The sequence below is a fragment of the Homo sapiens genome, chromosome 1 (assembly GCF_000001405.40).
Source record: "Homo sapiens chromosome 1, GRCh38.p14 Primary Assembly".
NCBI lineage: Eukaryota > Metazoa > Chordata > Mammalia > Primates > Hominidae > Homo > Homo sapiens.
This window is the reverse complement of record NC_000001.11, coordinates 93,111,541-93,125,611: the sequence shown is the minus strand read 5'-3', so window position 1 is coordinate 93,125,611 and position 14,071 is coordinate 93,111,541. Positions and strand designations below refer to the sequence as shown.

At 34.3% G+C, this 14,071-nt stretch overlaps 1 protein-coding gene across 4 annotated transcripts in view; it reads right to left on the bottom strand.

The window, feature by feature from the left end:
- The window catches only part of MTF2 (metal response element binding transcription factor 2), a 59,794-nt gene that overhangs the window by 13,465 nt on the left and 32,258 nt on the right, over positions 1 to 14,071 (bottom strand). For all 4 annotated transcript variants that reach the window (NM_007358.4, NM_001164392.2, NM_001164391.2 and 1 more), the window contains 6 exons: positions 10,829 to 10,924; positions 10,524 to 10,624; positions 9,994 to 10,142; positions 7,172 to 7,267; positions 6,211 to 6,279; positions 4,940 to 5,063 (listed from right to left, as the gene is read on the bottom strand). In NM_007358.4, coding sequence (NP_031384.1) covers positions 4,940 to 5,063; positions 6,211 to 6,279; positions 7,172 to 7,267; positions 9,994 to 10,142; positions 10,524 to 10,624; positions 10,829 to 10,924 — 635 coding nt within the window. The remainder of the gene's footprint in view (positions 1 to 4,939; positions 5,064 to 6,210; positions 6,280 to 7,171; positions 7,268 to 9,993; positions 10,143 to 10,523; positions 10,625 to 10,828; positions 10,925 to 14,071) is intronic.

The window sequence follows — 14,071 nt, the reverse complement described above, 5'->3', positions numbered from 1 at the left end:
ATTTTATAACTGCTGTTAATTGATCTTGTTTTCATCTCAATGTTCCAGATCTTTTCTCTTGATTCTGTCATCCTTCTAGAATTGAAGGTAGAGACAAAGACAGAACCCCTATGGCCCTCCATAAGAGTCTCCCTCAAGAATGTTTCCAAAGCACCGACTTTGTTACTGTTTTTCCATTAGTTACAAATCCATTTAATTTTCATTTTAACCAGTTCACATTTTAATATCTCATCTGAAATCAAGTTATACTATGTCTATATCATGCCCAAACCAGTGTTTGCTAACCATAAAAAAAAAAAAAAAAAAAAACACTGACAAACCAGCGTTGCTAATCATATCAAAAAAGAAACCAAGGGTATACATGACTTATTCTAATAAGAGATTTTCCTTATTGCCTTTTAAATCTTCACAAACCATATATCTGAAAAATCTGAAAATTTGCTGAGTCAACAGCAAAACTAACTTCCTAATTTCTAAAACCCACTTTTTTACTTTCTGACGATCGCAATGAACTCTACTTTCTTTTGGTATTTACTCCCTACCGTTTCTCAGAAATTTTATCTACTAAGTTCCTTCAGCACTCCATGACTACTCTGCATAGAACTGCATATTTTAGCTACCATAAAAGTGCCAAAGACTTCCCTCTTTCAGTGTTTTGCAAACTAAAAGTACAACCATTATAGTGTAAATCAGATAATCTACATTAGAAGAGCATCATATTCTACACCTTCCATCTGACCATGAGGTTTATTATATAAATCTCCAAAAGAATATTTTTTTTTTGCTCCCCCCTCTCCAGATACTAATCTCACACTAATACTTACAGTATAACTCTTCCTTTCAACTACCAATATTAAGTTCCAAGCCACCTGGGCTTAAGTATCCCAACAACTTAGGTAATTTGTTGCTAACCACCATACTATATGCTAATTATAACACTCTAAGCCCCAAGGAATTTTTGTTCAGATTTCTTATAATTTCCACTTATAAATATTATTCCACCTCTATTGTATATTTTCCTCTAGTATCATTTCTACCACAGTATTTCTTGAGTTTCATCTTTGCTTTTCTCCCTACCTCCCTCAGAAGTGAAGTAGCACTCCATAAATTATTCTGGTATCAACCTCAGGGTTTCTAAAATTTAAGACCACAGAAGAGTGGTTATTACAGAACTAGGATTTCAAATAACTTTAAGAATCAAACACAAATGACAATAAGCGATTACAAAAAGTACTAATATCTCATTTTAAACTCCCCAAAACAATCTGATACAACAGATGAGACTTCATTTTACATAAAAACCTTAAGAAAGTTTATCATGGTTTCAAATGTTAAGTATTTTTACTATCTCAAAGAAAATAATCCAAAACATAGTAGTTCCTCAAACAGCTACACTCAATCTATATGATAATCATTAGGTACCAAGCCAAAAGAAGTACAAAAACTACATAAGGAAACAATGTAATACTACCATTATCTTCTAAAATGATTCAAAAGTTTTATCTTCTCTTCATAACAATCCTATACCGTATTCAACTAAGAAAAAAATATGATACATGAATGTTACATTTTGGCTTTTCAGTATGACAGGATATTATCTCCAAAAGTGTAATATTTTTGAAACTTCTTTTTATTACTAAAAGAAGTCACAGCTTTGGATGATAATGATGTATTGATGTAGCTTCATCAATTATAACTATCTACCATTATGGTGGAGGGATGTTGATAATGGAGGAGGCAATGCATGTGTGGCAGAAGGGGACAACCTAAATCTGCTCTTAAAAAAAAAAAAAAAGTCTTTAAAATAAAAACAGTCACAGTGCTTCCTTTATTAAAAAAAGGGGGGGGGGACACAATACACGAAACAGAATACAACTGATTCAATGTAAGATTACAGCAAGTAATTACAAATGTAAATATGTATTTACTAGGTTTCTAAAATAAAAAATACCATTAAAGTTTAGCCAGCCTCATCATATGTAAAATTATAATTCAAAGTTCAGGGATAATAAATGTGGATAACTGCCTAGTTGTGCAATATATATTCCTACGCAAAATGCCATAAAAAATCTCAATCAACTTATATCATTACAAAATTTTTTCTCTGATCTGGTGGCAAGAGGAAGGAAACTCCACATTTTAGATAAACTAAAATCACAACCTTTGTTCTATTTTGTTTCATTTTTGAAGATAAATTTCTAGAGCAGGCGCTTTAGTCTATATTACGTATAACAAGAATTGCTGAGGCAGGAAGATAACTTGACCTCAGGAGTTCAAGGCTTCAGTGAGCTATGTATGACTGTACCATTGCACTCCAGCCTGAGCAAGGGTCTCTTAAAAAAAAAAAAAGAGAGAGAGAGACTCTCCTGTCCTGTCTCTTAAAAAAAAAAAAAAAAAAAAAGAAAGAGCTGATGTTCAAAATGACTAAAGTACTCCAAGGTACTCAATTATAAAATATAAACATTATATTTAGCATACACTACTTCCCATGTTTTGAAAATAATTAATGGCATTTTATAAGATTTGGAACAAGAATATAAACAAAAGTAAATTTTTGTTAACCTAAATTTGGATTAGTGACAAAATTCAATTTGTAATTCATTTTTAGTTTATCAAAAATTTTCTATTCAAATAATTTGGAATGACCCATTATTTATGTTACCTTTTTATTGATCACTACAAACATTTGAAAGTAATCTAAATGAAAAACACTGAATAAACATGATAAACTAGCATAAATTTTATCATCTCTTTATTATTAAAAACTCACCCTAAAATCCAATTATAATTACAGTACAAAAATATAAAATACAGAAAATTAGAAACCTTAACTTCAATCTGTCAGTTACCAAAGTCTGTGAATGAGATGTCTCATCTAAGAAGTCTGAATATTTTCTTATTTTAATCCACAGAAAGAACAGTAAGAAATTATTAGTCTCTTGTTTTAGTAATAAATTTGATGGTCAAAAAGTGGAAATAATTTGCAAAACTTTTTCTTTTTTTCTAAGACATTACCTCATAGGCTACAGAAATAAAAACATGTATTATTACTGAAGCAAATTTTTTCTAGTATGTTTCAGAAGTTCAGTTGGAGCTGGGACACCCAAAATTCATAAACTGAACTCTTTTCTTGAAAAATATACTAAATGTGATTTTCATTTTCTTATATTTCCAGCCTCTCAAATAAAATCTAAACACTAAAATTTAAATTTTAATTAAAAAGGACAGCATTTGAAATAAACACAACTTGAGTTTTTATATTATATATACCCAATGTCTACATCAAGTTACTACTGCAGAATTTCATCATGTAATGCAGACAATGTACTAACAGGTATACATATGTATCTGCATATGAAGTGCTAAAAGAATAATGGCTAGAAAGAATTTTTAAACAAATGTATTATAGTATTAAATATTAAGATAATTATAAAAACCACTATAGCCACTTCTAATGCCTTACCCCTTACTTTCTGATTACTAATCAGTTTATTAAAATTTATCAAATGTGGCCATGCCCAGTGGCTCATGCCTGTAATCTCAGCACTTTGGGAGGCCAAGGTGGGCGGATCACTTAAGGTCAGGAGTTCAAGACCAGCCTGGCCAACATGGCAAAACTCCATCTCTACTAAAAATACAAAAATTAGCTGGGTATGGTGGCAGGTGCCTGTAATCCCAGCTACTTAGGAGGCTAAGGCAGGAGAATGGCTTGAGCCTGGGAGGCGGAGGTTGCGGTGAGCTGAGATCACGCCATTGCACTCCAGCCTGGGTGACAGAGCAAGACTCCGTCTCCAAAAAAAAAAAAAAAAAAAAAAAAAATCAAATGTACACATCACTCACTTTCTCTCAGACTTCATCTAAAAAAAAAGTATTTAACAGAAAACTTAACAAAAATTTGTATGATAATCCAATATCTAACATTCAAAACTCAAATGATGAATTCAAAAATTCATCAATTGAATTTCAATAATATCCTAGATTTTAAAACTACAAACTAAATCATGCATTATGTTCTCCCTGATATCCCATAAACCCCCAAAAAGCCCTTTGATATCCTATTTGATATGAAATAGGATGTCCTTCGTGTCTCAAAGCTACAAATCAAGAAATTCTTCCTAAACTTCAAATCAGTGTGCAAAATTTTTACCTAAAAAAAAGCATGACTAAGATATACATATCAAATTCCATATTATAAAACAAATTTTTTAGTTTTAACTAAAAGTAGTTAATATATGTACTTTAGTAATTCTAAATAAAAGCTAAAAATAAGGTCCCTAACTATTAAACTTATTCTAGTTACTTTTCTCTTTCTGCTATTCATTAGTTTCAAAATTTTCTTTAATGAACACACATTACTTTTAAATTCATTTAAAAAAAGACTGTAAACCAGCATAGGTAGTTACACTTCAAAAATGAGAAGCAAAATGAGATGTCAGAATGAGAGGGGATAATTTTCTATTCAGGCAGCTTCACTCTACAACTCATTTTTCTAACAATATTATTAGATCCCACCATTCCTACAAGTCAGAAATATATAAAGGAGTACCAACAAGAGAGGAAGGAAGAATGTTGGTTATATCTCTAAGTTTATAGAAAACTTAGAAGAAAAGGAGGTTGAACTACAAGTAAGATACCCAATACTAAAGATTTCTCCCTCCCTTCTATCTTTAACTACAATGACTTTCACTTCAGAAAATGAAAGAATCAAATAATATACCTCCTCCTTCTACAAATTTCCAGAGTCAACAGGCAACAAACACACAGGAGGATGAGAAGGCTGGTCCTGATATCCATACCAAACTTATTTGTCCCCAGAACTAAAAATAAAATTCTATTTTAGTTGTCTGACTTATACATGTGTCTCAGTTGTTTTTTGAAAAACAAAACAAAACAAAAAAGACATCAAGTAGCTACTGAAGTTAGTTCTCAGACCACCTACCTCTCCAGGGTGCAATCTATCCCAGTTTTCATTAATGTATGTCATAAGCTCAAGTTCAGAATCAAAGTATTTCTTCTTATGAATAACACTTAGGTTGTAAAGGCATAGGTGTGCTATATCTACCCTGGAATCCGAAAATAATCAAATACACAAAACAATGTTTTTGGTTACTGTTAAAAAATCACGGTTTCCTTATAAAACAGTAATTAAAATGCAAAGAGAAATATTTAGGTGGATAGTCATATTCACAATACAATAAATCACTACACATAAAAATAACTAGAAAATAGTGACTAAACATTCACTTATTCTGAATAGCAACTATAAACTAGAAGATATATGAATTACTTCTTTTTTTTTTTTTTTTTTTTCTTGGAGACAGAGTTTCGCTGATTGCCCAGGCTGGAGTAGTACAATGGCACAACGTCAGCTCACTGCAACTTCCGCCCCGTGGGTTCAAGCGATTCTCCTGCCTCAGCCTCCCTCAGCCTCCCGAGTAGCTGGGATTACAGGCGCCCACCACCACGCTAGGCTAAATTTTTTTGTATTTTTAGTAGAAACGTGGTTTCACCGTGTTGGCCAGGCTGGTCTTAAACTCCAGACCTCAGGAGATCCACCCACCTCGGCCTCCCAAAGTGCTGGGATTACAGGCGAAAGCCACCGCACCTGGCCACAAATTACTTCTTCAAGTGCATTCAAAGAGGGTCTGGCTTTAAAAAAATATAACTTAAAATCAAGATTTTTGTGTTTTCACTTCCGGATATAAGCTACAGAATATACCATACTTAACCAAACTATTTGATTCATGGGTTAAATCCTATCTGTTGATAAAATATGTAAAATACAACAAAGATTTGTAAGTACTTACTGTAAGCATTTTATTAGTAAACCTCTAAAATTCATCACACTTCCAACACACAAGAATTACTACATTGAAGCAGAAATTAGCATATTTGTTATACCTATCTCTCTTCTACTGTATGGTATTCTGAATGTTCAAAAGAACTAGAAATATGAGTAAGAATTTAGGTCTAAAGGATATCTGAAAGTTTCATTTATAACATTCAACACTGAACAGCCTTATTAATTTAGCAATACAAGTGGATGTTACTTAGTGAAGATGACATCAGGCATGAGGATAAATAAAAGAAATAAAGCCAAGCATAAATAACCTATTTTTACTTAAGCCAAGTAAATGTATATAGAAAGTTTCAACTTGTAGGTTTAAGAAAATGGCTTTTCTTTCTTTTAACAGAAAGGTCCACACTTACCACTGTAATGGTAGACGTTTGAGGTATTCTGGTCCAGAACTGCAGACAGAGCATATAAACGTATAAAATCTAAGAAAAAAAAAAAAAAGAAAAAGTTTTATACTGAGTCATCAGAGATAAACTAACAATTATAGCTAATATTCACCAAGTGAATAACCTACAGCTGATATAAAGACTGATACTCAAAACAAAATATAATTTAAATTATAATGCTTTCTGTGATTGAAGGAAGTTCTTTTCCAATAACAAATAATGAAACAGTTCATATGTGAAGAGAAAGGATCTTTGTTTTTAACCATTGGAGACCTTCAAAGTTCACACACAGACTCACACGTACTTATAGTTTACTAATCGCTTGTGTGTGCCAGGAATTGTGATGGCTGCCCCCACATACATAGTTTAATTCAACGCTCAAAATAACATAATAAGCCCGAAAGAGACAAGTGAACTTCCCTAAGGTCAGAAAGAAAATTAAGTGGCATAAGCCAAGATTTTTAAAACCAGGTTTTCAGATGTCAAACTTAGTGGTCTAGCTTTTTGTTCCTGGAGCTCACTGTGCTACCCTGCATTCTTCTAATATAGAAAGTACATTAAGTCTGCTTTTACAAATTTTTCATATCTAAAGTATAGTTGTGTCTTTAACAAGGCCCTGTGGTCTTTTCCAATTCTAATACTATCCCTTTGAGGTTCTTTAAAGGAAGGTACCAATGAGAATACTTTAGAGTACTATGGGTCAATAGGAGCAAATGTAATCACTGACAATACTTAAAAGCATTCTGGAATAAAATCCAAAAGCACAAAAATTACGTATATTTTAAGTATATTATTTAATATTTTCCCTCTGAGACAACCCCTTTCCAAATCACTGTTGAAACTATCTTTAGGAAATCTGAAATCACAAATATAACCACAATTAAAAAGTGACAAAAATCAGCCAGTAAAGTTCAAATGCCCTTCTCACCTGTCTCCAAATAGCATTGGCTTTTGAAGGCATTGCACACAAGCCTCATGAAACCACTGCTTACATTTGCAGCACTGTAGCATCTTCAAATACCAGCTATTAAAAAAAACAAAAAAGTTAACACTAAAATTCCTGTCTTAAGGGAAAGGTTCATTTCTTTAAAAAAAAAAAAAAAAAAAGTGGCCTAATCCACAATACTGTTCTAATTAAAGCATCACATTTCTACTATACTTACTGTAAATATTTCCTTTCCCAAAAAGGCTTATAGTATCAGCTATTTCATCCCTCTTCTCTCTTTTATTCATGAAATTTTATAAGCTCTTGAAAGATACACTACTACTTCTAGTCAAAAATGCCTGGCTCCTACACTAGTCAAATGAGCTCTGTTAAAACACAAGCCTAGGCTATTTTTTTTTAAAGAGGCAAGTATTGCTATGTTGTCCAGGCTGGAGTGCAGCAGCATGACCATGGCTCATGCAGCCTCAACCTCCCAGTTCAAGTGACCCTCCCACCTCAGCCTCCCAAGTAGCTAGGACCACAGGCATGCACCACCAAGCTAGGCAAATTTTTTTTTTAAGTAAAACTGAGGTCTCCCTGTGTTGCCAGAGCTGGTCTCCAATTCCTGGGCCCAGGTGATCCTCTGTCCTCGGCCTCCCAAAATGCTGGGATCACATGCGAGAGCCACCATGCCAGGCCTCTGGGCTTTTTTTCACATCAACTCTCTAAACCCCAGGAGAGGTCAGATTCAGAGGTACTGTTGTTTGCCCCAAATATCAAATGGCCTTAGGCAGCTTTCAGATTATAAACATTCCACTTCATATCTTTACTGTGTTTCTATTATTCTTGTCAGCTATAATAAAAAGAATATAACGATTTAATAAACCTGCTTAACATTATCATAAATCTAATCTAAGACTCTACCAGGTATAAAGGCTTTTTGACAGGTTTAGCTATATTTCAATGTATGGTCTATAGATCTGTTTGAGAAAGCTAAAGATGCTAAAATTGAATCTTCATCTAAGAAATATATCTTCTCTTTTCAGTTAGCACATGGATTTTGGGTTTGTTTTAAGAGACAGGGCTACATTGCTACATTGACCAAGCTGGACTTCAGGGTTCAAAGGATCCTCCCACCTCAGCCTCCCAAGTATCTGGCAGTACAGGTACACACCACCACACCCAGCTAGTATGTGGTTTTGATATGGTTATCTTTATTTGAAAATAATAAAAGGCACCATTTCCAAACTTTGATACGGTTATCTTTATCGGAAAATAATAAAAGGCACCATTTCCAAACAGAGCTATACCTTGATTCAGTCTATTAGCACTATTTTTCTAGGTTCATGTGCTCACCTTATGTCTCTGTGTCACATTTTGGAAATTCCCATAATATTTCAAACTTTTTCATTATTATTAATATTGTATCTTTCATGGTGATCAGTGATCTTTGATGTTACTACTATAACTATTTTGGGCCACCAAAAACCGTGCCCACCTAAGATGGCAAACTTAATCACTAAATGTTGCATGTGTTCTGACTACTATCAACCAGCCAGTCCCCATCCCTCTCCCTCTCCTCAAGCTTCCTATTCCCTGAGACACAATATTGAAATTAGGCTAATTAATAATCTTACAGTGGGGGCCAGGCGTGGTGATCATGCTTGTATTTCCAGCACTTTGGGAGGCCAAAGCAGGAGAATCACTTGAGGCCAAGAGTTGGAGACCAACGTGGACAAATAGCAAGACTCCATTTCCACAAAAAAACTTAAAAAACTAGCAGGGTGTGGTGGCGCATGCCTGTGGTCCTACCTACTCAGGAGGCTGAGATGGGAGGATTGCTTGAGCCCAGTTCAATGCTGGAGTGAGCTATAACCATGCCACTGCACTCCAGCCGAGGCAACAGAGCAAGAACCTGTCTCAAAAAAAAAAAAAAAAAAAATCTTACAATGGCCTCTAAGTGTTCAAATGAAAGGAAGAGTCACAAGTCTCTAAATTTAAATCAAACGTTAGGAAGGTATGTCAAAAGCCAAGATAGGCCAAAAGCTAGGCCTCTTGCACCAAACAGCTGGCCAAACTGTATATGCAAAGAAAAAGTTCTGGAAGAAAATAAAAATGCTACTCCAGGCCAGCATGGCTCAGGCCTGTAAACCCAGCCAGCTTTGGGAGGCCAAGGTAGCAAGAACCTGTCTTTACAAAAAAAAAAATACTTTTTAAAATTAGCCAGGTGTAGTGGCACGTGTCTGTGGTCCTAGCTACTTCGGAGGCTGAGACAGGAGGATAACTTGAGCCCAGAAGTTCAGTGCTGCAGTGAGCTATGATCATGTCACTGCACTACAATCTGTGCCCTATCACTTTAAGAAAGAAATGAAAATACGTAGAAGAAAGCAGTAATCTATCTGTGAAAAAGTTCCATGTTGATTTTATGTCTTAAAAAACTTGTCTTTTACTCTCCCATTTAAATTATAATATTAAATATACCAGTTTCTAAATGGTCAATCACATTAAATATGACATCCAATGAAACTACTGATACTGGGCCCCTGCAGTAAATGTTTTCCCTCAATAGTTAATTTTATGACAATATTTATAATTCACTTTAAATTTCCAGAATATAAGACTTATACAAATATTTTAATGTGTGGATATGATCAAAAACTAGATGAAAATTATTTTTTTATGAAAATAATAGATTTTCCCCCTGGTTTTCTTCACTGATGTGTTCATGCAGTTGCAATTCACCATCACTCACACACCATAATCAAGAAAAATAGATAAGTAAATAAAAATTACTTAAAGGGAATTACATAACTGTATTTACTTACTCTCCAGGGCCTCCACAATAGCAGTAACACTGCTGGACATTGGTTTTATGACCTGCATCCCATTCAAGGTCTGCCACACTATAGGGTAATGTCTGCTTCATGACTTGCAATGCTTTGGCATTTGGTCCTTTCTTAAGTGCACCACCCCTCTACATTAGAGGGAAAAAAATGTGAAAGAGTGAAGGCTAAAATTTTAAACACAATTCTATACTTTAAAAACGACTCTGACACTTCTGGAGAAATTTCCTTTCCAAACTTTTACCATATCACAAACTGTCTGATTAATAATAATCTCTATTTTTCTTTTCTTCTTTCAAATTACTGCACCAATTCCCGTATTACTATCATCAAATAAGTGAAAGCATCATTAAAAAGTCACTTAAGCATCATTAGTCAAATAAATAGCACCTCTTTCTACCCAGCATTCATTGCTCATTTCATTCCAACAAACTTTCAGTGTACACAATCATTATGTTGATAATGTCTTACAAATTCCATCAGAGCTTTAGCCCAAAACACTTAAAATATACCTTTGTTGTTGTTGCAAAAACACACTGCCGACAGAGCCATTTTTCATCTGAATCAATCACACTGGAATCAATATGAGGTGTGTGACACAACTGATGATATCCTTAATATCAAAAAAAGCATAAAGCAAATTCGGTTTCATTAATACTTTCAACACAATTTCAAGAATGCATTTTAGCATTATTTCCTACATTAATATAATTAATAAAAAGGATAATTTCAAATTATCAATGTAAAGTATTTTTAGTCATTAATCTTCAACATAGTCATTCAGTATGTAACAAGATTAAAAGAAATCAATGGTTACCTTGGCCACACTTGTCACATATAACCATTTCATTGGGAGCTTCTGAATACTCTTCTTGACATATTGTACAGACCATTTCCCCACTTCCAGTGGCTCCTAAAATATTTAAAACACATTAAAAAAGAGAGTCATAAAAAATTCCATAAAACAAAACCACTTTTATGACTCAGTGAGCAGCACATATGCGCAATGTTTGCTAAGTACATCATAATGCTTCACAAGACAAAGTACACGAATGGTATCTCTCTGCTCTCTGTGTTCTTTCTACCTTTAACTTAACATGCCTACTTTCATAATTTAATCTGCTTTTTGGCAGAAGGCATAATTTAAATTGCTCTTGAGCATCTTCCCTTATTACTCATTTCTCATATTCCCACTCTTAAAGGTGAAGGTGGAGATGAGGGATGGGCGACAGCAGATAGAGAAGGTTTGTGAACACTAGAGCTACTTTATAGAATACTTATCTATTCATGTACATACATTCACTTATCCTACACCACTAATACCATGAAATTAAAGAAAAAAAGTAAGGAAGATAAGTAAACTACCTCTTTCTCGCTCAATTCAGAGCATTTCCTTTTACTTACTAATTTATTAAACAGGTTGAACACCAATTATTTAATCTCTAGCTTCTGAAATCTGAAAATATGGTATCCAATAATGTACCCTAACAAAATATCATTTCAACAAAATTTGGGGGTCCCAAAATTATTAATTTTTTTTAGCAGAACAAGTGAAGCATTTCTTCCTGAGACATTTTTATTCTCAAAAAAAAAAAATCACACAAAATTTCTAATACAATTTACCACCCTAACACATTATCATTTCCAGTATTCTCATCTTGTCTGTTTCAGCAGAGTCAAATTCACAATACACAGCCTTTATATACATAACAACAATAAAAACTTATAATTTTGTGCTATGGGCCAAGCACTGTGTAGGATCTTGATATATTTTGTTTAATTCTACAACTAACTTATAAATATACTATTTATAGAGAAGAACTGAGGCTCAGACAAAGTAACTAACCCAAAGACCCTGAGAAAACATCAAGACTAGGATTCAAATCCAGATGTGCCAAAATCCATGTTCTCTCCACTACGAGATGCTTCATCAATACTATGTAATATTTCTTCTATCAAAAGCATTTTTCACTCAAAATTGAAAATGAAAATCATTTTTCATTTCAAAATTGTAACTTCTAATAGCTGCATAGTATTACATCTAGTGGAAATAACCCAATTTACTTCATTATTACTCTACTCTCGGACATACAGGTTACCAACTGTTTTTCTTTTTTTGGAGGGGGAGAAATCTGTCTTTTGTATTTCTGCTATTTATTTGTTTGTTCTGGTCTCTCATCCTCTCTCTTCTGCTTTGTTTGCTTCCTTTTATTTTTCCCCTCAGATAGGGTCTTGCTGTGTCATCCAGGCTGGAGTGCAGTGGCACAGCCACAGCTCACTGCAGCCTTGACTTCCCAAGCCCAAGCAATGCTCCCACCTCAGCCTCCCAAGTAACTGGAACCACAGGCGTGTGTGTCACCATGCCTATTTTTTTTTTTTTTTTTGTAGCGACAGGATCTCCCTGTGTTGCCCAAGCTGGTCTCAAATTCCTGGGCTCAAGCAATCCTCCTGCCTGGGCCTCCCAAAGCACTGGGATTGCAGACATAAGGCACTGCGCCCAGCTGTTTGCTTCTTGGTACACTTCGTTGAAGGTGGTCTCCCATAGCTTCTGGGTTTATGGTTCCGATCATGAGAGCAACCAGATTAAGCCTGGGAACTCTCTGTGAAAATTTACAATTCCCTGGAAATGGAACAACAGCCCCGCGAGGGGAGGTGCCTGACCTGACTCTCACTGTAACTACCTGGACTAATGATGGGGAAGGCAATTCCTCAGAAAAGGGGGTAGTGACCCAAGAAACAATCCTGAGAAAGCTGGGAATTAACTTTTACTTGTGAAATCAAACATATATGTATATATTTTTTACCATCAAGTTTACAAGAACCTTCCTATATAGCTTAGTAATCTTCTATAGTCTCCTTTACTCTAAATCCAATTGACTAGAAAGCCTTGGCCATTTCATCTTAGAAATACCAAATTTTTTGTTGTTGTTAAAATAAACTTCAGGAAACATTTTTCACCTAGTATTTTTTGAATTACTTCTTATGAATAAACTGCTAGAAAGGAGTCTATTAGATAATTATAAACTTCTGCATTTAATGCAAATGCTAAACCACCAAAATAGAAATTTACACTGCCACCAGCAATGCAAGAGTATATCATTTCACAGAAACCAAAACAGCATTAGATGCTAAGATTCAAAACCCTCTTACATTTATGTAATAGTTGTAACATGATATATTTCACCCTGTTGACTACTAATATTTTTCTTTATGTAAAATTTTTAAAAGAAACTCATTAGACAAATATAATTTATTAAGTTTTGATATACATTATTGGCAGATTTCTTACAGGGAAGAAAACTACTAAACCCACTCCTCACTGAAATATGCCATAACGCAGGTTTCAGATTCATTTATTCATTTTTATAGCAACTATAAGTTTCATATGTGCTAATATCAGGGTGCTAAGAAGAGTTAAATGACCAGGAGCAATCCTTTGTAATTCCAAGAACAGCAAAAGGAACCAGTGAAGAAAGAACAACCACAGAACATTAAACTGACATACTGAGTGCAGGACTTATAGAACCCCTCACACAACAACTTTCTATCTCTATGTAACATTGGTTTTCTTCTTTTCTACCACTTTTAAAAGCAGAGGAGAAGTAGAAAGGAGGAAGTAGACAAAAGGACAGACAGACCTATTACATTAAATCCACAGGAAACTCCAAAAGATCTTCAAAAGCTGAAAGAAACACATAGCTAATGGAAGGGGAGTAAAAAGCAGCATAACATGTTTCACTGCTATTACAGAGAGACCTATGTTTACAAAATAAGGAAAAAAGAATAATTTTGTGTGCAGGGTAGTAAGATCTGCTCAATATTAGTAGTGTTGGAGATCTCCTATCCCTTTAAATCTTATGAGTCACACTTTTCTCTGGCTCCTCAATTTCAGATTCAAAATGTAATTTTAGTCCTTTAAACTTATCAGTCCAGGAACCATAAAAAGTTTCTCCAGAAAAACATTTTACCAGAGTAAAAGCTACTTAGTTCCCCACCTAAGCCCTGAGTACCAACTATACAGATGGTAATTAGAACATTCCAATTCCTTTACCAAAACTTT